General features: G+C 38.7%; 1 protein-coding gene and 1 long non-coding RNA gene across 5 annotated transcripts in view; one reads left to right on the forward strand and one right to left on the reverse strand.

The window, feature by feature from the left end:
• Positions 1 to 1674: 1674 nt before the first annotated feature.
• ECD (ecdysoneless cell cycle regulator) overlaps positions 1675 to 24786 on the reverse strand; it is a 34428-nt gene continuing 11316 nt past the window's right edge. Inside the window, exons 4-15 of one of the 4 annotated variants that reach the window (NM_001135752.1) lie at positions 24575 to 24662; positions 24282 to 24460; positions 22263 to 22455; positions 20300 to 20428; positions 16283 to 16411; positions 14283 to 14368; positions 9394 to 9492; positions 7638 to 7744; positions 7316 to 7502; positions 6010 to 6077; positions 4711 to 4925; positions 2531 to 2820 (exon numbers count right to left, since the gene is read on the reverse strand). In NM_001135752.1, coding sequence (NP_001129224.1) covers positions 2590 to 2820; positions 4711 to 4925; positions 6010 to 6077; positions 7316 to 7502; positions 7638 to 7744; positions 9394 to 9492; positions 14283 to 14368; positions 16283 to 16411; positions 20300 to 20428; positions 22263 to 22455; positions 24282 to 24460; positions 24575 to 24662 — 1711 coding nt within the window. In that variant the 3' untranslated portion in view covers positions 2531 to 2589. Of the gene's footprint in view, positions 2821 to 4710; positions 4926 to 6009; positions 6078 to 7315; positions 7503 to 7637; positions 7745 to 9393; positions 9493 to 14282; positions 14369 to 16282; positions 16412 to 20299; positions 20429 to 22262; positions 22456 to 24281; positions 24461 to 24574; positions 24663 to 24786 lie in introns of all 4 variants that reach the window. The other 3 variants (NM_007265.3, NR_024203.1, NM_001135753.1) reach the window with 3 other exon arrangements.
• LOC124902452 (uncharacterized) lies at positions 16477 to 19712 on the forward strand. Its single transcript, XR_007062194.1, has 2 exons — positions 16477 to 17618; positions 17726 to 19712. It is a non-coding gene; the product is annotated as an uncharacterized LOC124902452 (long non-coding RNA).

Consider the following 24786-nt stretch of genomic DNA (forward strand, 5'->3'; position numbering starts at 1 on the left):
GAAAAGAGGAAATAATCATATCTTCAGAAGATTCTAGGGACTTATTTGTGATTAAAGACAAAAGCTCCAGAGACCCTAAGGTTATTTACATGTCAAAGTCCCATAGGACTAAGTCCCAAAGTCCCATAGCACTAAAGAGATTCTAAAACTAGAAAAGTTAAAGCACTGAATTTCCTTTTGATCTCAAAAGGTCATTGCTCTCTCCACTGCCAGCAAACCATCATTGCTTTGGGGAAATCAAAGTGCCTTCATCAGGAAATGTTGAGGGATAATATGTGATGGGACTTGATTGTCTTGTTAGATTGGCAGCTTGCCTTTACCTGGGCTGAACCCAGCATGCAGAAGGGAAAAGCACTCACAAAAGAGAGGTCCTGAGATTTCTTCATATCTTGCAGTTAGAAGAAAACAGTTCAGGGTCCATGTGTATTACCATCTCCCAATCTTTTCTATCTCTATGTGGGTGTGTTTGTGAGCGCATGTGTACACATCCCCAATCTGAAAATACTGATAGAAAGGGGAGTGTGCGGAATTCCTGGTTATGAGTTTCCCAAACTTACCATGGAGTAACTGTTTGTTTTTTGATTAATGTGTTTTTGGAAAAGAAAAGATGAGAGTGGCTAACAGCAGGAGCTGCAACATTGAACTTTGCTTCTCAGTAGTGAGTGGGAAAAGAGCTTTGCTGTAGAACCCCAAGGATATCTGAAAGCTGAGGCAGAAGAGAGCAGGCCTGGAATACTGAAAATGGCAGATAAATAAAAGAAACTTTGGTACAGGACCTACCTGACCTGAGAATATATACATGGGCAATAAATTATGAAGGTGCTAAGGATAAATAGAACCCATCTGGGTCCATGATGCAGAATAGAAAAACAGGTAAAATCTTGTGAGCCTGGCTGAAAGTCAGTCAGCCGTGGCAACCAGAATAAAAAAAAATTTCATTTATATTTTTGCCTATCACCCTTTCTCTACCCAATATTTAATCCTCAATGAAGATAAACCTAATGTACCACAAGTGCGATGGGGGGAAACCTTTTTCTCACAGTTGAGCTGGGACGGCATTCTGGCCCCATTTTTAACATGAGAAATGTAGCTTCAAAACAAACAATAAAAATATATTTAAAATAATTATTATTTAAAATGTTAAAATGTTGCACAATATCATCTGATGTGTTACTTTAGTCAATGTGTAACACTTATCCTCTTCCTTAGTTCATTTCAGTGAACACTAGGAAGACAAAGGATTGGAGTGGGATATGGTATATTTAGTTTTTATTTATTTATTTTTGAGACGGAGTTTCGCTCTTGTCGCTCAGGCTGGAGCGCAATGGCGCAATCTTGGCTCACTGCAACCTCCGGCTCCCGGGTTCAAGCTATTCTCCTGCCTCAGCCTCCCAAGTAGCTGGGATTATAGGCGCCCACCACCATGCCCGGCCATATTCAGTTTTTATTAGTTCGTGATAGTAAGTTCTCAGATGAGAACTCTACTACACCATTCTCCTAATTCCTCCCTTGGTCACTGGAGAGGGAACAGTATGAAACTATTTCCATTGTTTTTACTTGGATAGGGTAAGATATAGTAAAGGCATCTCTCTGCTGCATACAATAATAAAGAAGAATCCAGAGACCTAGATTATAAAAACATGGTCAGTATATGGAGCTGTCTGTAAAGAAGACTTTTTTTTTGCTTTTAATGGTGAATTTTATGATATATAGATAATACTTGATTTATTTTAGGAGGAATATGAGCATCATTTTAAGAAATAAACATTTCATCTTAGCAAAAGATATATCAGTTATATTAAATATCAAACCAATTAATTAATTAAAACAATTAAGTACAGTATCAGGTATGAAATATCCAAAATAGGCAAATCCATAGAGACAGAAAGTAGACTAGTGGTTTCTAGGGGCTGGGAGTAGAAGGGAATGAGAGACTATTAGTGAGTATGGGGTTTCTAATATTCTAGAATTAGATGGTAGGGATGGTTGCACAATTTTGTAAATATACTAAAAACCACTGAATTGTATAATTTAAAGGGTAAATTTTTTGGTATGTGACATATCAATATAGCTGTTATTTACAAGTAAATAAGTTCTATATCTTGCTTCAGGTACATACATACATGCAAAAATTCACTGACTGTACACTTAAGATTTGTGCACTTAACCATATGCATGTTATGCCTCATTAAAAAAATTGAAAAAGTGAATGAGTTTTCAAATCCAAATTTGTCAACTTGAAATTTTGATCTGAGGATGAATAGCAGTAAGGGAGAAATTTAAATATTTAGAATTACTCCAAGGGTATATTGTGGTAGGGTATGTCTTTAGCATGAAGTGTGTGAATTTCATCTCAAGGTTGTCTAGGGGCTAGATTCTACCCTGCCGAGTTCAAAACCTGTGTATAACCCACAGCTGAGATCACAAAGACTTGTGCCAAGAGGGCCACATTTGGGGCTCATGGAGAAGTCAATCTGTAAAACTTGTAATGAAGAAACATTTTTACTAAATGAGTAATCTAAACTAGAAATGAACAGAATCATATTCAATATTTATTTAAAAAGAAAAAAGAGAAGCTAAATGTGCTGGTTAATTTTTTGTTGGCTTACTTGTTGGTCTGTGATCGGTGTTGTCAGGCAGCTGCACTCCCATGCTTTGTAAAAGATTGGAAGCAGGTCCTGCCAGTCCAGCTTGGGAGCTATAGGATTCCAATATATTTGAAACCAGGTTCAGGTCTACATCTACTGGTGCCATAACAGATTCTCCCGTACCAGAATCTTCCTCATCTGAATTGTTATCGGTAGTCTGGGATACAGGTTCCTTATTCATAGAGGGAAAAGAAAATTATGGGCTAATGTATCATTAGGTTGCATGGTGGTTACAATAAAAAGATAACTAAGCCACAATGTAAATTTGCATTCCAAATTAAAAAGGAAACTTCTTATCCTTGGTGATATAAACTGAAAATGAAGTCTACAAGTTATATGGCCTAGCACACATAATAAAACTTGGTTCTAAAGGTTATAACACATTTCTCTCCAGGAAAGATTCCTGCAAATCGAATAAATTGCATGTCTATTTTGAAATAGCTCAAGGGCTAATAGAATTAAGAAGGTACATTTATAACTTGTCTAAGAGTCTTAAAAGAAACAAACATAAAAGTGAATATTAAATGAAATAATAATGTAAATTTTCTTCAAAATGAAAGAAGCGAGTGTTCCTTTCTTTCCCCCCAGTGAAAAAGCTTAAAAGTAAAAACACAAGGCTTTGTGGTTCCAACCACAAAGATTCTAAATTGTTAGTTGGGCCTCTGATTCCACAAGCTGGGGAAAGGATTTGAAAGATTACAGCTCGATAGACTTTTATGTCCTTGCTACCCAAAGCATTGTCCATGGAGCAGCAGAGTCTCCATCGCTTGGGGCTTATTAGAAATGGAAAAACTCAGCTGGGAGTGGTCGCTCATGCCTGTAATCCCAGCACTTTGGGAGGCTGAGGTGGGTGGATCACTTGAGGTCAGGAGCTCCAGAGACTAGCCTGGCCAACATGGTGAAACCCTGTCTCTACTAAATATACAAAAATTAGCCAGGCACGGTGGTGCGCACCTGTAGTCCCAGCTACTTGGGAGGCTGAGGCAGGAGAATTGCTTAAACCCAGGAGGCAGAGGGTGCAGTGAGCCAAGATCGTGCCACTGTACTCCAGCCTGGGTGACAGAGGGAGACTTCCATCTCAAATAAAATAATAATAATAATAATAAAATAAAACAAAATAATAATAAAAAAAAGGAAAATCTCAAGCTTCATCCCAGGCCTACTTAATCAGAATCTATGTTGTAACATGATCTTTTGGTTTATATTCGCATTAAAATTTAAGAAATACTGCTTTAGATAAATCTAATGTATGGTTTCTACTAGATTTTGACAATTCTGGAAGTGACTATAGTTTTAAAAGTGGTTTAGATGATCAAAGCAAGGAGAATTAACATTAATTAAAGGCCTATTGTAGGTTTTACTGCTGTCTAATTTGGTTCTCATGTTAATTTTATGATATGAGGATTACTGGTTTATAGATACATTCACAGTGGACAGCTGAGCTAGACTTCAAACCCTAACCCATAAGACTCCAGGGTTCTTGCTCTTTCCATAATACCTCTGTTTAGGATTAGACAGTGGTGGCATTAAAAACTAGGATGAAAACATAAACGGAAGGTGAATCCTAAATTTGGCTCTAAATTAGGGAAAAATACAAAATAAACTGTTAAAACTGGAAAGTTATTTGAATGTTTAAGATCCTGTTTATTTACTTATGTTATTTTGTTTTAATCCACTGTGGCCCAAGGCATAGTCTCAAAAGGTCTTGAGAACATGTGCCCTCTCTTTTTTAAAATCCATTTAAGCTGTAGTTTTTTTAAACTACTTTTGAAAAAAAATGTATTTAAGAAGTAGTAGTGTACAATCGCATTCTAATTTGAGCATATTATATGACTTTTTATTTTAAATCCTGATAGATAACGTAGAATAAGTAATATAATGAAGCTTATGTTTTGGAAAATTAAGTCTATGATCCTTTATCCTACCAGAGTTAGGAAAACAATTAACATTCTTATTTATTTCAAATCTCACACACCAAAAAAAGAAAAACTATGATAAAATATGGTTTTAGCTATCTGACATACTAGACTCAGAAAGAGAAAGAGGTTAAAAACACACATACCACTTGGTTCCTAGTGGTGAAACTTTTGCTGATGCAGGTGTGTGCTAGTTCCTGGTCCATCTGGGCCATGTATGACTTGAGATTATCAAGTGTTCCTTTCAGGGAAGCCTCTTCGCCAGGTTCGTGTGTTTCAAAGTCCAAGTCATCATCACTATCTAAACATTCAAAGTCTTCATCATCCAGATCATCAGAATCTGACTCATTAGGCCTTGGCCCTACACAGATCCCAAGAAAGAAAGAGCCACTTAGTAATTATTATTATTATTATTATTATTATTATTATTTAGTTACTACACATCTCAAAATAATTAGAATGTTACCCACAGAAAAAGACTAATACACACAGTCAGTCTACTTCACAAAAATCCCTTCTACAAATGGTAATGCTGGCAGATATGTGTGCATTTAATGTTGTGGAAAAGCGTACAAGCTGAATCAAAAGATTTAGCTTAAAAAAAAGTGAATTCAATTAATTAAAATATTTTTCTTAAAAAATTTTTAAAAATACCTAATAAATGAATACATTTTGATGTAAACATTCAAGCCATACAAGTATTGTCTCCAATCTCACTCTCTCCCCAGAGGTAAGCATCTTTTAGCAGTTTCCGGGTATCCCAATCTTTCTCTCTGCAGTTCTGTACATATATACATATTATAATTATTTTTTGAGTTATCTTTTTATTACTGATTTGTAAGTACAGTAATTCCAAAAAAGAACAATATAATATGGGAGCCAAGGTAAAACCCTATTTAAACACACAGCATTCAGTCACTCTCAAATATTTAATGAGGCCGGGCACGGTGGCTCACGCCTGTAATCCCAGCACTTTGGTAGGCTGAGATGGGCGGATCATGAGGTCAGGAGATCGAGACCATCCTGGCTAACACGGTGAAACCCCGTCTCTACTAAAAATACAAAAAAATTAGCTGGGTGTGGTGGCAGGCGCCTGTAGTCCCAGTTACTCAGGAGGCTGAGGCAGAAGAATGGCATGAACCCAGGAGGCGGAGCTTGCAGTGAGCCGAGATCGTGCCACTGCACTCCAGCCTGGGCAACAGAGCGAGACACTGTCTCAAAAAAAAAAAAAAAAAATTAATGAGCAGCTACTATATATGTCAAACACTAAGCTAGGCAGCCTCTACAAAATTATTCATGGGTAGTAATTCATGGTTGAAAGCAACTCAAACCAGGAAGAGAAAGCAAACATTTTGGCTTCTGAGATATCTCATAAACCAATGCTCTAGCAACAGCCATACTACTAACAGTTTCAAAATGAAAGTCAACATCACACCACTACTTACCTAAAATCTTATCAAAATAATTAAGAAAAGAATCTGCATCAAAAGTGATTGGAGCCTCAGAAGGTTCTCTGCAATATTAAAGGACAAAGACAATTAATTTATTCTAAATACAACTCTTTGAAACTTTTCTAAAGTGGTGCCATTCTTAGGAAAGCTACCAAAGATAGAATTTCTAAGGAGGCACAGCAAGAAAAGTTGTAGTTTAAGTTTTAAAAATCCTTGAGTTTACTGGCCTTGCAGGACAACAGAAATGGGAAAGTCTGATAAATGAAAAGTAAAAATTGCATCTTGTTTATGTACATTTAGCTTATGCTGATTTAGGGACCTACCCACTCTCTAGCCCCAATAAGATATCTAGCATTAGCAAAACCATTATTTATTTGAGTTAATTTAAATAAAGCCTGTTCTTTTAAGAACTAAAGCTTAAAAAATAAACAAGAACATATCTTCCCTTATCCCTGCTTTCTTAAAGAGAGAATACCAAATATAAATTTATATCTTTCATCAGGTTCAAGAGCATCAACACTAATAATGATATATTTGATACACAAGTAACAGTTTTTTTTGTTTTGTTTTTTTTTTGAGACGGAGTCTTGCTCTGTCACCCAGGCTGCGGTGCAGTGGCACGATCCCAGCTCACTGCAACCTCTGCCTTCCGGGGTCAAGCGATTCTCCTGCCTCAGCCTTTCAAGTAGCTGGGATTATAGGCGTGCGCCACCATACCCGGCTAATTTTTGTATTTTTAGTAGAGATAGGGTTTCACCATGCTGGCCAGGCTGGTTTTGAACTCCTGACTTCGTGATCTGCCTGCCTCGGTCTCCCAAAGTACTGGGATTACAGGCATGAGCCACCGCGCCCAGCCTACAAGTAATAATTCTATCTACCTGTTTTTCCTGTTATTTGCCAAATGTAGTTTCATATTTCTGTTATTATTTCTGCCTCTGATGAATTCCTTTTTCAGTATCCAATCTGCTTGCAGGGTGGGAGATCAGAGGTCTGAACTTGTTGAAAGTTAAATGTTGAGCCCATAAAGCTACTAAAGAGTAAAGTATATGGTTTCCCTGTGTGGTTCTGGATGATGGTTTTTAGGGTGATCTTTCTGGCTTATTTCAAGGATTGCAAAGGATGAGGCTTCTAGAAATCTGACTTCAAATAAGTAAGTTATCACTATACTAGGCACAAAAAAGAAAGCAAGCAGTACAACTCATTTACTCAAAAAAAAAAAAAAAAAGTGGAAATGGCAATGACTATGACTTCAACATTTGGGTTCTAGCTATTTATATATTTATACTTTAACACAAATTACCGAGGCAGCTCTGCTCCCTTGTGGGTTGAGACTTTGGATATGAAAGCTTTCATGCTCTCTGAGACTTCAGTTAAGTCATAGTTCTGCTCCTTCTCCTCCTTGGAAACAGACTCGGATTCTTTTTTGCCAACAGCTTCCTGCAGCAGCTGGTCCAGCTGATCTGGTGAGAGATCTAACCACTGGTCATCTGAAAAAGAAGAAAGCATAATACTGCCATTCTACATTCACATAAGTCCTCTTAGGAGAGGATCCTGTGAGACTGAGTAGAACATTTTAATTTTTTTTTTTTAACCCTTCCACTGTATCCTGGTCCATCACTTACCATCCTCTGGGGGAAGATTAGCTGCTTCTTTCTTAAGGTCTTCTATATCAAATGGTATTGTCTGTAATAAGGTTAAGATTTCTTCACCAGGGCTCATAGCAAGAGAACTATGAAAAATAAAAAACATGAGTATTTCTTCATAAGAGAACATAGAATAGTAATCATAAATACATAGTATTTTAAGGTTGGAAGGGATTAGCTAGTCTAATTTGGGGAGTGTTTTTTTTTTTTTTTTTTAAGAGATGGGGTTTCATTGTTGCCCAGAATGGACTCGAACTCCTGGGTTCAAATGATCCTCCCACTTCATCCTCCCAAGTAGCCAGCACTACAAGTACATGCCAAAACACCTGGCTCTAATTTGTTTGTTTGTTTTTAACAGAGTTTCACTCTGTCGCCCAGGCTGGTGTGCAGTGGCGCGACCTCGGCTCACCACAACCTCCGCCTCCCAGGTTGAAGAGATTCTCCTGCCTCAACCTCCCAAGTAGCTGAGACTACAGGCATGCGCCACCACACCCAGCTAATTTTTGTATTTTTAGTAAAGATGGGGTTTCACCATATTGGCCAGGTTGGTCTCGAACTCCTGACCTCATAATCCCCCTGCCTTGGCCTCCCAAAGTGCTGGGATTACAGACATGAGCCACCGCACCCAGCCTTCTAATTTGTTTTTAAGCATATTTTTAGGTTGCAGATCCCTTTTTCTCAAACAAAACTTTTACCAGGAACTCTAAAATACAGAAGGGGTCAAAGAAAAATGGCCTTCATTAAAGTGGAGGATAGGCCAGGCACAGTGGCTCATGCCTGTAATCCCAGCACTTTGGGAGGCCAAGGCGGGGAGATCACTTGAGGTCAGGAGTTCACTTGGCCAACATGGTGAAACCCCGTCTCTACTAAAAATACAAAAATTAGCTGGGCATTGTGGCACGTGCCTGTAATCCCAGCTACTCGGGAGGCTGAGGCAGGAGAATTGCTTGAACCCGGGAGGTGGAGGTTGCAGTGAGCTGCCCCAGCATGGGCGACTGAGCAAGACTCCATCTCAATAAATAAATAAAATAAAATAAAATAAAAATAAATAAATTGGAGGATAGAAGCTCAGAGATCTACACAATTGGCCTTCCTTTTTGGCTCTGAAGCAGGCTCCATGGAACATCATTATGAAGCCACTGATCTCGTATAATTCTTTCTATACATACATGCAGAGACAGGGTCTCTCTCTATATATGTATATATATGTACATACAGTTGTATTATGTTAATAGTACATATACATATAAAACACGTACTAAAAATACATAAAAATATACATATAATATATATTTTATATACGAGGAAAAGAAGATCCAGAAGGAAAGCATCAATTAAAATTTATCTAGCATGTATTAAATGCTATGCTAACACTTTAAATACATTTTCTTATTGAGTCCTTTTGTTACTATTATAGAAGGTAATAATCCTGTTTTACAGATGAGAAAACCAGAACCCAGGGAAGTTCTTTAACTTTTGCAAAGTCTGTATTACCCAGGAGGCGGAGGTTGCAGTGAGCCAGGATTGTGCCATTGCACTCCAGGCTGGGCGACAAGAGCGAGACTCCGTTGGCCGGGTGCGGTGGCTCACGCCTGTAATCCCAGCACTTTGGGAGGCCAAGGCGGGCGGATCACGAGGTCAGGAGATCGAGACCATCCTGGCTAACACAGTGAAACCCCGTCTCTACTAAAAAAAAAAAAAAAAAAAAAAATTAGCTGGGCGTGGTGGTGGGTACCTGTTGTCCCAGGTACTCAGGAGGCTGAGGCAGATGAATGGCGTGAACCCAGGAGGTGGAGCTTGCAGTAAGCCAGGATCGCGCCACTGCACCTCCAACCTGGGCACAGAGCAAGACTCCGTCTCAAAAAAAAAAGAGACTCCATAAAAAGAAAAAAAATCCTCATTCTTTAAGACTTAACTCAAATACCTCCTCCCTGAAGCCTTCCATTATCTTTCTTTTTTTAACATCTCTGCTTCAACCTTAGTGAAAGTTTATTACCTTCTCACTATGACTCTCTTTAGCATTTGATATTCCAGAATGATTTTTATTTTGCCTTTTGTTATGATTATTTGGTTTATTCTCTCTCCTAGTAACGTTTACATATTAATAATACAGAGTAGAGACAGTTCCCCATCACCTACGTGATTTTGCAAGGTATGCAAATGTTTATCCAATTAAAGCAAGTCCTTTATACAACTTGATTTGATCCATTCTTAATAGTTCAGACAGGGTGCCATCAATTTATGTAACAAATCATGTCACCATTATGTCACTCACTCAACACATAAGTATCTCTGTGCATAGTTTCTTTTTTTTCTTTTTCTAAGACAGGGTCTCACTCTGTCGCCTAGGCTAGAGTGCGTGGCATGATCACAGCTCACTGCAGCCTTGACTCTTGGGATCAAGCAATCTTCCTATCTCAGCAAGTAGCTGGGATTACAGGCATTAGCCACTGTGCCTGGCTATTTATTTATTTTTAATTTGAGTAGCTGGGATTACAGGTGCCCACCACCTCATCCGGCTAATTTTTTGTATTTGTAGTAGAGATGGGGTTTCACCATGTTGGCCAGGTTGGTCTCAAACTCCTGACCTCAGGTGATTCACCCATCTCGGTCTCCCAAAGTGCTGGGATTACAGGTGTGAGCCACTGTGCCCGGCCTATTTGTTTATTTTTAATTGACAAAAAAGTGTATAGGTTTATCATGTACCTTAAAAATATTGTAGAGATGTAATCCCAGCACTTTGGGAGGCTGAGGAGGGCAGATCACAGGTCAGGAGATCGAGACCATCCTGGCCAACATGGTGAAACCCTGTCTGTGCTAAAATACGAAAAGATTAGCCAGGTATGATGGCACGCGCCTGTAGTCCCAGCTACTCAGGAGGCTGAGGCAGGGGCATCGCTTGAACCCGGGAGGTGGAGGCTGCGGTGAGCTGAGATCGTGCCACTACACTCCAGCCTGGTGACAGAGAGAGACTCCATCTCAAAAAAAAAAAAAAAAAAAAAAATTGTAGAGAAAGCTAATGTTTCCTTTGATGACCACTGCCACCCATCCCAATCCATTGTCTTGCTCCCCAGAGGTGACTGCTTTCTCAAGTATACTTCGGCACTTTTCTCTCTCTCTGTATGTATATATATTTCTGTTTCTATTTCTTGTATTTGCTGTCTGTCCTTTTGCTGGAATGTTATTCCCCTAAATAACTGAATGTCTCACTCCTTCACTTCATTCAGGTCTCTTTTCAAAGAAAACTTCCTTAGAAAGGCCTTCCTTGACTAATCTATCTAGAAGAGCAGTCTCTACCCCTCTACCCCACACACTGCTTTTTCTTCATAGCACTTACCACCCCCTAATATTACATAATGGCTTGCGGTCTTTCTCCTACATTAGCATGTAAGCTCTATAAGGACAAGGACACTTTGGGTTCATTTATTATATCCCCAGTACCTGGAATAGGGCCTGGCACATAGGAGGCATTCAATAAATATTTGTTGAATAAATGAATATATATGTATCTATAAATAATGTATTGTTTTGTTTTGAGACGGAGTCTTGCTCTGTCACCTAGGCTGGAGTGCAGTGGTGCGATGTCGGCTCACTGCAACCTCCACCTCCAGGGTTCATGCGATTCTCCTGCCTCAGCCTCCCGAGCAGCTGGGATTACAGGGGCGTGCCAACACGCCCAGCTAATTTTTGAATTTTTAGTAGAGACAGGGTTTCCCATATTGGCCAGGCTGGTCTTGAACTCCTGACCTCGTGATCCACCCGCCTTGGCCTCCCAAAATGCTGGCATTACAGGTGTGAGCCACTGCGCCCAGCCTGTATAGTATTTTGTATATTTAAAATTTTTATATGTGTAACATCCACACGGTATATATTTTATTCTTTTTCATTTTCATTTTTAATTTTTGTGGGTACATAGTAGGTGTATATATTTATAGGGTATATGAGATGTTTTGATACAGGCATGTAATGTGAAATAAGTACATCATGGAGAATGGGGTATCCATCCTCTCAAGCATTTATCCTTCGAGTTACAAACAATCCAATTACACTCTATGTTAAATGTATAATTAAGTTATCATTGACTATAGTCACCCTGTTGTACTATCAAATAGTAGGTCTTACTCATTCGTTCTATTTTTTTTTTTTTTTGGTACCCATTACTGTACGTATTTATAACTTGCTTTTTTTTTTTTTTTCACTGCATTATGTTTTTGAAATCTATTCATTTAGATCAGTGGTTCCCATTTAGATCAGTGGTTCCCAACCAGGGACGATTTTGCCGCCCAGGTACCTCTGGCAATGTCTGGAGACATTTTTGGTTGTCATGATTGGGGGATGAGGGAGAAGTGCTATTGATATTTACTGGATAGAGGCCAGGGATGCTGTTAAATGTCCTATGAAGTGCAAGCCAGTCCCTCACAATAAATTATCAGATCCAAAATGTCAGTAGCACTGAGGTTGAAAAATCCTAAATCAGATATATGTAAATATAGTTCATCTCTGGTTAACTACTAGATAGCAGGCTATCATATAAGTACACTGCAATTCATTTATCCATTATTGATGGATACTTTGGTTGCTTATAATTTTTCACTATTACAATCTCTGATAAATTAGGGGAAAGTCTATGATATTATACGTAGGAGCTAAAAACAATTCTAAACTGAGAGACAGAGAGCAGAATAATGGCTGGCTGGGTGCAGTGGCTCACACTTGTAATCCCAGAACTTTGAGAAGCCAAGGTAGGGGGATCTCTTAAACCCAGGAGGTCAAGATTGCAATGAGCTATGACTGTACCACTGCACTCCAGTCTAGGCAACAGAGTGAGACTCTATCTCAAATAATAATAATAATAAAAGTAGAATGATGGTTACCAGAGGCTGGGAAGGGTAGCAGAGAGCGGGGGGAAAAGAGGGGATAGTTAATGGTTACAAAAATTAGTTAAATAGAAGGAATAAGAGCTAGTGTTTGCTGCTCTGCCTATGGAGTAGCCATTCTTTATTCCTTTACTTTCTTAATAAACATACTTTCACTTTACTCTATGGACTTGCCCAAAATTCTTTCTTGCATGAGATCCAAGACCCCTCTCTTGGGGTCTGGATCTGGAATGCTTTTTAGTAACATCTTCCTGGCAAATCCCAAAAAATATTTTTTAAAAAATTAAAAAGAGCTAGTGTTTGGTAGCACAACAGGGTGACTACAGTTAATAATAATTTATTATATAGTTCCAAATACCTTAAAAAAATGGAATAACTAAAAATATTCCCAACACAAAGAAATGATAAATGCTTGAGGTGATGGAAAGCTTAATTACCCTGATTTGATCATTATACATTGTATGCCACATGGACATTATACATGTAATCACATGTACCCCATAAATATGTACAACTAGTATGTATCCACAATAATTAAAAATAAAAAATTAATGGCTGGGTGCATTGGCTCACGCCTGTAATCTCAGCACTTTGGGAGGCCAAGGTGGGTGGATCACCTGAGGTCAGGAGTTTGAGACCAGTCTGGCCAACATGGTGAAACCCCATCTCTACTAAAAATACAAAAATTAGCCAGACCTGGTGGTGCATGCCTATAGTCCTAGCTACTTGGGAGGCTGAGGCAGAAGAATCACTTGAACCCGGGAGGCAGAGCACTGCACTCCAGCCTGGGTGACTAAGCGAGTCTCTGTCTAAAATAAATAAATAAATAATAATAACAATAAATGAAAAAAAGTGAAAATGAAAGGTAAATCTAAAATAAAAGTCTACGATATTAATTCAGCTATTTTAAAAAAACCACAAACTTTGGGAATTCAACAACAGGTCTGGAGGGAGATGGAAGTTTGGTTTTAAACTGTTTAAAAATTATCCTGGTGTGCAGAATGGGAGCCTCTCCTGCAACATAAATTAAAATGTTGGACATTTAAGCTACTTGTAATTTTTTCCCCAACAGTAAAAAATAGTTGAGTAAATTATGGGGGTACATCCATTTGCTGAAATATTGTGCAGCTTTTTTTTTTTTTTTTTTTTGAGATGGAGTCTCGCTCTGTCCCCAGGTGCAATCTCAGCTCACGGCAACCTCCGCCTCCTGAGTTCAAGCGATTCTCCTGCCTCAGCCTCCCTAGTAGCTGGGACTACAGGCACGCACCATCATGCCCAGCTAATTTTTGTATTTTTAGTAGATACGGGGTTTCACCATGTTGACCAGGATGGTCTTGATCTTTTGACCTCGTGATCCGCCTGCCTCGGCCTCCCAAAGTGCTGGGATTACAGGCGTGAGCCACCGCGCCTGGCCATATTGTGCAGCTTTTAAAAATTATGTTTATAAAGACTTCATAATGCCATGGAAAATGTGATATCATGATGAGTAAAATTACATAGAGGAGGATGCAAAATTTCTTTCGTTGTTTTTTTTTTCTTTTTTGAGGCAGAGTCTCACTCTGTCATCCAGGCTGGAGTGCAGTGGTGTGATCGCTTGAGCCCAGGAGGCGGAGGTTGCCAGCCTGGGTGACAGAGTGAGACTCCGTCTCAAAAAAATAAATAAATAAGAATAATAAATAATAAATAAAAAATAAAAAGAACTACCTAAATACCAATCTTTGTAGTAGGAGTCTTAACAATAACTCACCTTTCTGGCCAGTCTACTGAGAGCTGGAAGTAATTCTCTGCCATTTCTAGCCTTTCCCGGTACTGAGCAGAACCTTCTATCAGTCCCTTAAAAAAAAAAAAAGGTCTATCAGAACATTACTCACAAGTTGTCATGAAAAAAATGTGTTCACCAGCAACTTTCAGGGAGGCAGCAAATAATCTACTACTCAGGAATCACGTGCCCCAAGTCCTAGGCCCTGTTTTATCATTAATGGGCCTGTTTGAGCTCCAGTTTCTTCAAATGAGGGGACGCGGCTAGATGTAGTGATTCCTAATCTTTTCCACCATTAAGGGCCTATTTCCAGTTTGGAAAGTTTTCCACCATTTTCTTTTACTTAATTACTTATTAAGATATAATTGGCTGGGTGCGATGGCTCACGCCTATAATCCCAACACTTTGGGAGGATGAGATGGGCAGACTGCTTGAGCTCAGGAGTTCAGGACCAGCCTGGGCAACATGGTGAGACCCTGCCTCTATGAAAAAAAAAATTAAATTAAAGATATAGCTGATTAACTAGTAATTCACAAAACAAAGTACAGAAAGTTTGCCAAGTAGAATAAAAAATGGCAAAATCCCACCATTACTATCATTTGTGTTTTCTAAATGCATATTTATAGTGATAGTCATACTTAGTATTTTACATTTTTTAAGAATATACTAGCTGGGCACTGTGGCTCATGCCTATAATCTCAGTACTTTGGGAAGCAGAGGTGGGAGGGTCACTTGAGGACATGAGTTTGAGACCAGCCTGGGCAACATAGCAAGACTTCGACTCTACTAAAAAGAAAAAAAAACAATCTTTAGCCAGGCAATGGTGGCACATGCCTAGTCTCAGCTATTTGAAAGGCTGAGGCAGGAGGATCACTTGAGCCTAGGAGATCGAGGCTGCAGTGAGCTATGATCCTACCACAACACTGGCTTGCGTGACAAAGCAAGACCCTATACAACAACAATAACAACAACAGTAATAGCTGGGCACGGTGGCTCACGCCTGTAATCCCAGCACTTTGGGAGGCCAAGGCGGATGGATCACCTGAGGTCAGGAGTCCGAGACCAGCCTGGCCAACATGGTGAAACCCCATTTCTACTAAAAATACAAAAATCGGCTGGGTGTGGTAGTGTGGGCCTGTAATCCCAGTTACTCAGGAGGCTGAGGCTGAGGAGAATCGCTTGAACCTAGGAGGTAGAGGTTGTAGTGAGCCAAGATTGTGCCATTGCACTCCAGCCTAGGCGACAAGAGCAAAACTCCATCTCAAAAAAAAAAAAATACCATATATATACTATAATATCATTAGTACTTTTCGTATTGCTGTGCCATCTTTATCATCATCATATTCTTCGGGACTTTTCCACTTCTTGGATATTTCCTTTAAAAAGATTATTCAAAGTGAAGGTTCCAAGTTTGAACCTTTCTATACCTCTTGGAAGACACTACCAAATTACTTTCCAGTTAAGATTCTACCAGTTTGCAATGTTACCAGCAAGGTATAGGAGTGTTATTTTTACCATACTCTCGACAGCACAGAATATCATTCATATCCTTTTGTACATACATGAAAGACATTCTTCATTACTGTGTTCATATATATATATATATATCTTTACTACTTGTGAAGTTGAATATTTTAAGAGAAATTTACTAGGTATCTTTTAATAATTTTTAAAATCCACATCTTTGCTAATTTTCCTATCTGGTGTTTTCATGTTTGCATTATCAAGTTTTTGCAAGTTGTTTTATCTGGTACAGATAATCACTTTCATCATTTAATACCAACAGTGTTAGTTTTTCTCTAATACTGGAAACAGTTCATAGATACCTCCTTCATTAGCACCTGAGTACCACTGAACTAGAAAGGTCTCCTTTAAGTCTAGCTTCCATAATTATGTCATACATTTAAATATGGACTATAGGACTTTAAGTCGCTGGCTTGATTTTCCCTGGATTGAATACTTAAAAGCAAATATATTGCAAGTCCTACCTTAAAGTAATCATTCTTTTTCAGACTTTCAAGGAAACTGGCCCAGAGTGGTGAGGCAGTCACAAGGGATTTCTTGCAGTCAGAAAAATGTGGGCTACATTTGGAGCATAAGATCTCAAATCCATGAGCCTAGATGAGATAGGTAGAATTTTTGTTACTAAGTTCCTTTTTTCCCGTATCTTATTATAACACATTACTTTTTTTCCATTGAGCCACACTCTAGAACTAGATGACTGGATACATGGGCATTTGGACAATTATAACACTTTTTGAATTTTATGAAAAATATAAACTTATTCCCAAGTTTCTCAATCATTATAGATTACTAAAAACATAAAAGGAAAGAAAATAATATACAATAAAGATTCCTGTTCTCTTCAAAGAGATTCCTTTTCCTGCTGATTACAAAACCAGAAATTTACATTTATTTTTTGTTTGATTATGAACAGGGTTACAAAAGGTTTCTTGTCCAACAGAAATTATACATATATTGAACATGATCTCAGACATAGTAAAGAGAGGAAATCACTTCATTTTAAAAGTCCTTTGATTAAAAAAAATAATAGATGCACATGGCTAAATAATTCAAACAGGGAGCTTCCCTGATCAAGCTAGAGAACACCATTACCAACTTCTTGCACATCCTTTCAGAAGTAACCTACACACTGAAGTATTATGTGTGTGCCTCTCTGTATGCATAGCTTTCTACTCCACCCCTTTTGTTGCTCAATGGACGCATACACACTACTCTACACCTTGCTTTTTACACTTAACCATATACCTTGGAGATCACTTACATGAGCACACACAAATTCATCCATCTTACTTCATGGCTAGAGCACAATTTATCTAACTATTCCCCTACTAATGGACATTTAAGTAGTTTCCAGTCTCCTGCTACTATGAACAATGCTGTCATGACTATGCTCCATATATGTCCTTGTATATAGGTAAAATACATAAAGAATCATTTTCTAGAAGTGAAAATGCTGACTAAAAAGGTTTGTGCATTTTAAATGTTGATGAATACAGATGGTCCCCAACTTATGATGGTTTGACTTAACATTTTTTGACTTTATGATGGTGTGAAAGCAATATGCATTCAGTAGAAACCTTACTTACAATTTTTATCTTTTTGCAGGCTAGCAATATGCATACTGTCTCATGATGCTGGATACACAGTGGCAGCAAGCTGCAGTTGGCAATGTGATCACAAAGGCAATCAACCAATACTGTACTCTATAGTATACTGTATTCAATAAATTACATGACATATTCAACAGTTTATTATAAAATAGCCTTTGTGTTAGATGATTTTGCCCAACTGTATGCTAATGTAAGTATTCTGAGCCCATTTAAGGTAGGCTAGGCTAAGCTATGATGTTTGGTTGGTTAGCTGTATTAAATATATTTTTGACTTATGATATTTTCAATTTTTGACAGGTTTATCAGGAAGTTACCCCACTGTAAGTCAAGGAACATCTGTTTTGCCAAAATGTTCTCCTAAGGGATACAATCAATTTATATTCCTATCAACAATGTCTGAGAATGTTTTTCTGTATATATTCTCAACAACCCAGTATGTATTATCAAGCCGTTTGATACTTGCTAATAAATGATGAAAAACACTATTTTGAGGAAGAATCAATATCGTAAAAATGGCCATTCTGCCCAAGGTAATTTATAGATTCAATGCCATCCCCATCAAGCTACCAATGACTTTCTTCACAGAATTGGAAAAAAACTACTTTAAAGTTCATATAGAACAAAAAAAGAGCCTGCATTGCCAAGTCAATCCTAAGCCAAAAGAACAAAGCTGGAGGCATCATGCTACCTGACTTCAAACTATACTGCAAGGCTACAGTAACCAAAACAGCAAGGTACTGGTACCAAAACAGAGATATAGACTAATGGAACAGAACAGAGCCCTCAGAAATAATGCCACATATCTACAACTATCTGGTCTTTGACAAACCTGACAAAAACAAGAAATGGGGAAACGATTCCCTATTTAATAAATGGTGCTGGGAAAACTGGCTAGCCATATGTAGAAAGCTGAAACTGGATCCCTTCCTTATACCTTATACAAAAATTAATTCAAGATGGATTGAAGACTTAAATGTTAGACCTAAAACCATAAAAACCCTAGAAGAAAACCTAGGCAGTACCATTCAGGACATAGGCATGGGCAAGGACTTCATGTCTAAAACACCAAAAGCAATGGCAACAAAAGCCAAAATTGACAAATGGGATCTAATTAAACTCAAGAGCTTCTGCACAGCAAAAGAAACTACCATCAGGGTGAACAGGCAACCTACAGAATGGGAGAAAATTTTTGCAATCTACTTATCTAACAAAGGGCTAATATCCAGAATCTACAAAGAACTTAAACAAATTTACAAGAAAAAAACAAACAACCCCATCAACAAGTGGGCAAAGGACATGAACAGACACTTCTCAAAAGAAGACATTTATGCAGCCAAAAGACACATGAAAAAATGCTCATCATCACTCGCCATCAGAGAAATGCAAATCAAAACCACAATGAGATGGTAATCTCACACCAGTTAGAATGGCGATCATTAAAAAGTCAGAGAACAACAGGTGCTGGAGAGGATGTGGAGAAATAGGAACACTTTTACACTGTTGGTGGGACTGTAAACTAGTTCAACCATTGTGGAAGTCAGTGTGGCGATTCCTCAGGGATCTAGAACTAGAAATACCATTTGACCCAGCCATCCCATTACTGGGTATATGCCCAAAGGATTATAAATCATGCTGCTATAAAGACACATGCACACGTATGTTCACTGTGGCACTATTCACAATAGCAAAGACTTGGAACCAACCCAAATGTCCAACAATGATAGACTGGATTAAGAAAATGTGGCACATATACACCATGGAATACTATGCAGCCATAAAAAATGATGAGTTCATGTCCTTTGTAGGGACATGGATGAAGCTGGAAACCATCACTCTCAGCAAACTATTGCAAGGACAAAAAACCAAACACCGCATGTTCTCACTCATAGGTGGGGAATTGAACAATGAGAACACACGGACACAGGAAGGCGAACATCACACACCGGGGCCTGTTGTGGGGTGGGGGGAGGGGGGAGGGACAGCATTAGGAGATATATCTAATATAAATGACGAGTTAATGGGTGCAGCACACCAACATGGCGCGTGTATACGTATGTAACAAACCTGCACGTTGTGCACATGTACCCTAAAACTTAAAGCATAATAATAAAAAAAAAAAGAAAATCTAGACATTCCTATCAATGTCTAGATTGTAACATTTTTGAAAGCAAACAAAAAAAAAAGAAAAACACTATTTTGTAGCTTTAAAGTGCATTTCTTTTATTATGAGTTAAGATTCAATATTTTTCATATGTTTAAATTAAAGGTCACCTGTATTTCCTTTTCTGTGGACTATGTTCATAGTTCTGAACATTTTAAAATTAATTGGCTAGTATTATCATTTTCATATTGACTTAAAGGAACACTTTATGTATTAGAGAAGTCAGCTCTTTTTCATTTAGATTGCAAATATAACACTTTTTCCAGATTTGCTTTTGACTTTATTTATGGAGTTTTTCTTTCCCGTGCAGAAATGCTTAATTTTTGCATAATCAAATTCATCAGTCTTCCCTTTATAGCTTCTGGTTTCAAGTCATGCATAGAAAGGCCTTTCCTATTCAAATTATAAAAGGTTCTTGGTTTTTTTTCAAATTGTATAGTTTCAATTTTTATGTTCAAATATTTGATCCAATTGGAATTTATTTTGGTATAGGTATTAGGGAATCAACTTCAATTTTTCAGATGACTTCAGACTTGTCCCATCATCACTTACTAAGTAATCCATTTTTTTCATTCTAATTTGAAATGCCACATTTTACTGCATTCTTACATAAACAGGGTGTATTTCTGGACTTTGTATATTGTGCCACTATTCTATTAAGAGTCCATTTACATAAAGAAAGGAAACAACATTTTCTGGTTCAACATTACCAATTTCATGCCCAATTCATGGGCTCGGTACTGGGGATCAGATGGAGGAGGCAGCCTGTATCCACTCCGCCGGTCTGGCACAAACCTTTGTTGCACCAATTGTGCATATAGACATTTAGTGAATGTGACCTGGGCATCAAGACACAAAATACATGAGTCTTTTCCTGAAATTAAGATTGTGAATAACACTTCACAGTTAAATATAATGAGAAGTCCATTTATAAGCTTCATATTCATATGAAATGCAAAGAAGATTCAACCTATTCATTGCCTACTTGTTTTTAGTAACAGCTTTATTGAGATACAACTCACATACCATAAAATTTACCCTACTGCTGGCCAGGCATGGTGGTTCATGCCTGTAATCCCAACACTTTGGGAGGCCAAGGTGGGCAGATCATCTGAGGTCAGGAGTTTGAGACCAGCCTGGCCAACATGGTGAAACCCCATCTCTACTAAAAATACAAAAATAAGCCAGGCATGGTGGCGCACGCCTCTAATCCCAGCTACTCGGGAGGCTGAAGCAGGAGAATTGCTTGAACCCGGGAGGTGGAGGAAGTTGCAGTGAGCTGAGATTGCTCCACTGCACTCCGGCCTGGGCAACAGAGCAAGACACTGTTGCAAAAAAAATTTTACCCTACTGCCTACTTTTTAGTAATCGCTAGTAAAATTCTTATCATTAGTTACATTATACAGCAATTAAATGGCTGGAAGATAAAGATAATTCATTTTTTCTATTTCTGAGACAGGGTCTTGCTCTGTTGCAGAGACTGGAGTGCAGTGAGCAATCATGGCTCACTGAAGCCTCAGGGATAGGGTTTCACCATGCTGGCCAGGCTGGTCTCAAACTCCTGACCTCAGGTGATCTGCCCACCTTGGCCTCCCAAACCTCCTGGGGTCAAGCAATCCTCCTACCTCAGCCTCCGAAGTAGCGGGGATTACAGGCGCCCACCACCACACCTAGCTAATTTTTTTATTTTTTGTAGCGATGGGGTTCACCATGTTGCCCAGTCTGGTCTCAAACACGTGGGTTCAAGTGATCCACCTGCCTTGGCCACCCAAAGTGCTGGGATTACAGGTGTGAGCCACCATGCCCGGCCAAGAATAATTCTTAATTCTCTGGAAGAGATGAAATGTTTTATTGTTAAGAAGGAAATAATTAGGCTGGGTGCGGTGGCTCACACCTGTAATCCCAGCACTTTGGGAGGCTGAGGTGGGTGAATCACTTGAGGTCAGGAGTTCGAGACCAGTCTGGCCAACATGGCGAAACACCATCTAAAAATAAAAAAATCAGCTGGGCGTGTTGGGAGGTGACTGTAATCCCAGCTACTCGGGAGGCAGGAGAATCGCTTGAGCCCAGGAAGCAGAGGTTGCAGTGAGCTGAGATGGCTCCACTACACTCCAGCCTGGGTGAGAGAGTGAGACTCTGTCTCAAAAAAAAAAAAAAAAAAAAAAAAGGAAATAATTATAGAAATAGAAACATATGGTCAAAAATAGCTATAAAACATTGAGTATAAAATGGGGAGGCAGGTCTCTTGAAAATTTCCTTCACTGGGTGCAAGAAAAGAAAAAACGTGTATAGTTTGAGCATCCCAAATGTAAATATCTGAAATCTAAAATGTTCCAAAATCCAAAACTTTTTGAGTCCCAACGATATGCTCAAAGTTTTGAGATTTCAGAATTTTCAGATTTGGGATGCTCAAGTAGTAAGTTTAATGCAAATATTCCAAAATCCAAATAAATCTGAAATCTGAAATACTTCTAGTCCCAAGCATTTCAGATAAGGAATATTCAATCTATATTAACATGCTATGAAGAAACAGAATATTTCCTTTTTTTTCTAGAGAACAATTAAAATAATGTTTCATTCACTGAGCACTGAGAAATGTAAAAAGAAAAAAATAATAATGTTTCAACTCGGTTTCCAGTAAGAGAAACTAAATGACCAAGATAGAAATCTCACCGATGTCATTATTCGTGTTTCAGGCAAGAATGTCTTGAAAACACGACAAGCTCGCAGGTCAATAGGGTCTCGTAGGTAAAATGCCTGGACTGCTGCAGCCACCAATCTGGGGCGCTGCTTTAGCACTGCCACAATGCCAGCTGGAAGGAAGCAGTGTGCTCGATGAAGTGAGGCCTGAATTTTTTCTGGGTACCTGGGACAGGTAACATAATTACTTTCATTTTACAGTATATAAATACCTATAATTCTTATACCATTCACATTCTTTTTGACATCTCTTTGTTCATCAAGAGCAGTACGTAGAGAGTGACAAGAGAGATGAAAAAAGATACTGTATATACACTTAAGAATATACGAGAGAGGGAAAGAAAAAAGTAGGAAGAAATGGAAAATAAAGAAAAGGGATTATTGTAGCTCTATAAAAACAAAACAACTTTGGGAGGCTGAGGCGGGTGGATCACGAGGTCAGGAGATTGAGGCCATCCTGGCTAACACGGTAAAACCCCATCTCTACTAAAAATACAAAAAATTAGCTGGGCGTGGTGGCATACGCCTGTAGTCCCAGCTACTCGGGAGGCTGACATAGGAGAATCGCTTGAACCCGGGAGGCAGAGGTTGCAGTGAGCCGAGATCACGCCACTGCACTCCAGCCTGGGCGACAAGAGCAAAACTCCATCTCAAAAACAAAACAAAACAAAAATACCTATTATACTTTGGAATAAAGATAAAATCAGAGTTTATTCTTCTAAAAGAATGGTACAAAGTATGCTGAAGCTAAAAGAGATTTTTATTTTTTATTTATTATTATTTTTGAGACGGAGTCTCGCTCTGTCGCCAGGCTGGAGTGCAGTGGTGCAACCTCGGCTCACTGTAACCTCCACCTCCCTGCAACCTCCACCTCCCAGGTTCAAGTGATTTTCCTGCGCTCAGTCTCCCAAGCAGCTGGGACTACAGGGGCCTGCCACCACGCCCGGCTAATTTTTTGTATTTTCAGTAGAGACGGGGTTTCACCATGTTGGTCAGGATGGTCTCGATCTCTTGACCTTGTGATCCACCCGCCCTGGCCTCCCAAAGTGCTGGGATTACAGGCGTGAGCCACCGCGCCCGGCCAAAAATATTTTTAATATTGTTAATACCTGAATGGTGCTTAATATTTAATAGGCACCCAAATTTGAATGGATGAACGAATATGTAATTAGGCTAAGACCTTTCTTTTCTGAATAAAAGCTAAAGTTTTATTCAGAAACTGAATTCTGACATAGGTCAAAGAATCCCATATACAGACCCAGAACAACAGAAAAAACCTGAGCACCTTGTTTGTGCTCCATTAGGTTTCTACTTTTTTTTTTTTTTTTTTTTTTGAGATGGAGTTTCCTACTGTCGCCCAGGCTGGAGTGCAGTGGCGTGATCTCAGCTCACTGCAACCTCCGCCTCCCGGGTTCAAGCGATTCTCCTTGCCTCAGCCTCCAAAGTAGCTGAGATTACAGGCACCTGCCACCACGCCCTGCTATTTTGTTTTTGTATTTTTAGTAGAGATGGGATTTCACTATGTTGGCCAGGCTGGTCTTGAACTCCTGACCTCATGATCCGCCCCCTGCTCAGCCTCCCAAAGTGCTGGGATTACAGGTGTGAGCCATCGCTCCAGGCCCATGAAGTTTCTATTTTTAAAGGTCTCAAATTTTTTACCCATGGATATAGCTAATACTTAGCCACAATATCTAAGGTAAATAAATGCAAAAATATTGGGACAAGATTGTAACACTTCTGAATGGGAATTTAAAGATGTATCTGTTTCCTGATTTTAAAATCTGTAAGTTTAATTTACTAGTCTATTTCATAAAGAGGAATGAAGACAAAATGAAAATTAGCATTAATCTAGGTGAAAGGTATTTTATAGTCAAAGAAAGACTGATCAACTCCAACAGAGCTTTAAGGAAAACAAACAAAAATCAAAGAAAGACTGAACTACACGAAACCAAAAGGTTCCTTAATTAGCAATGAAAGTGATATTTTTCTTACCCTCTGATGCGCCTATTCACAGCAGCTCGTATAGATTCTGAAGCAAGTATTTTTTCTGAATGTGCTGTGATTATATTCAATGCTTGTGGAATTGTTGGGGGTGTGGTGGGTAACCAAGATTCTGCTCCAGATTTTCTTGGTGCAGGGATAATACACAATTCCCCATGGCAGAAAAATACCTGCAAACGGTACATTTCAATTTTCACAGTGGGCACTGGCAAACTGCAGGTACATATGAATGTAATGCAGCATGATTTCATCTCTATAAATTTTCTAAACTTGGGTATACTTACCCTATTGGTGCTATTTTCAGGATCCAGCCATTTAGGGAGAAAGTCAGCAGCTTCTATTAACAAGAATTCACCATCATTGTCTTCAATCCTAATGCAAGAAAATTTCCAATTTTGCATTCAAAAAGCATATATCTGCTAGTAACCAAAACAGTTTCATTCTAATACATTTTCCTCTTCATCTTAGTAAATATTTGAGTATGTACTATGTGCAG

This window comes from Homo sapiens, chromosome 10, assembly GCF_000001405.40.
Source record: "Homo sapiens chromosome 10, GRCh38.p14 Primary Assembly".
NCBI classification, from domain to species: domain Eukaryota; kingdom Metazoa; phylum Chordata; class Mammalia; order Primates; family Hominidae; genus Homo; species Homo sapiens.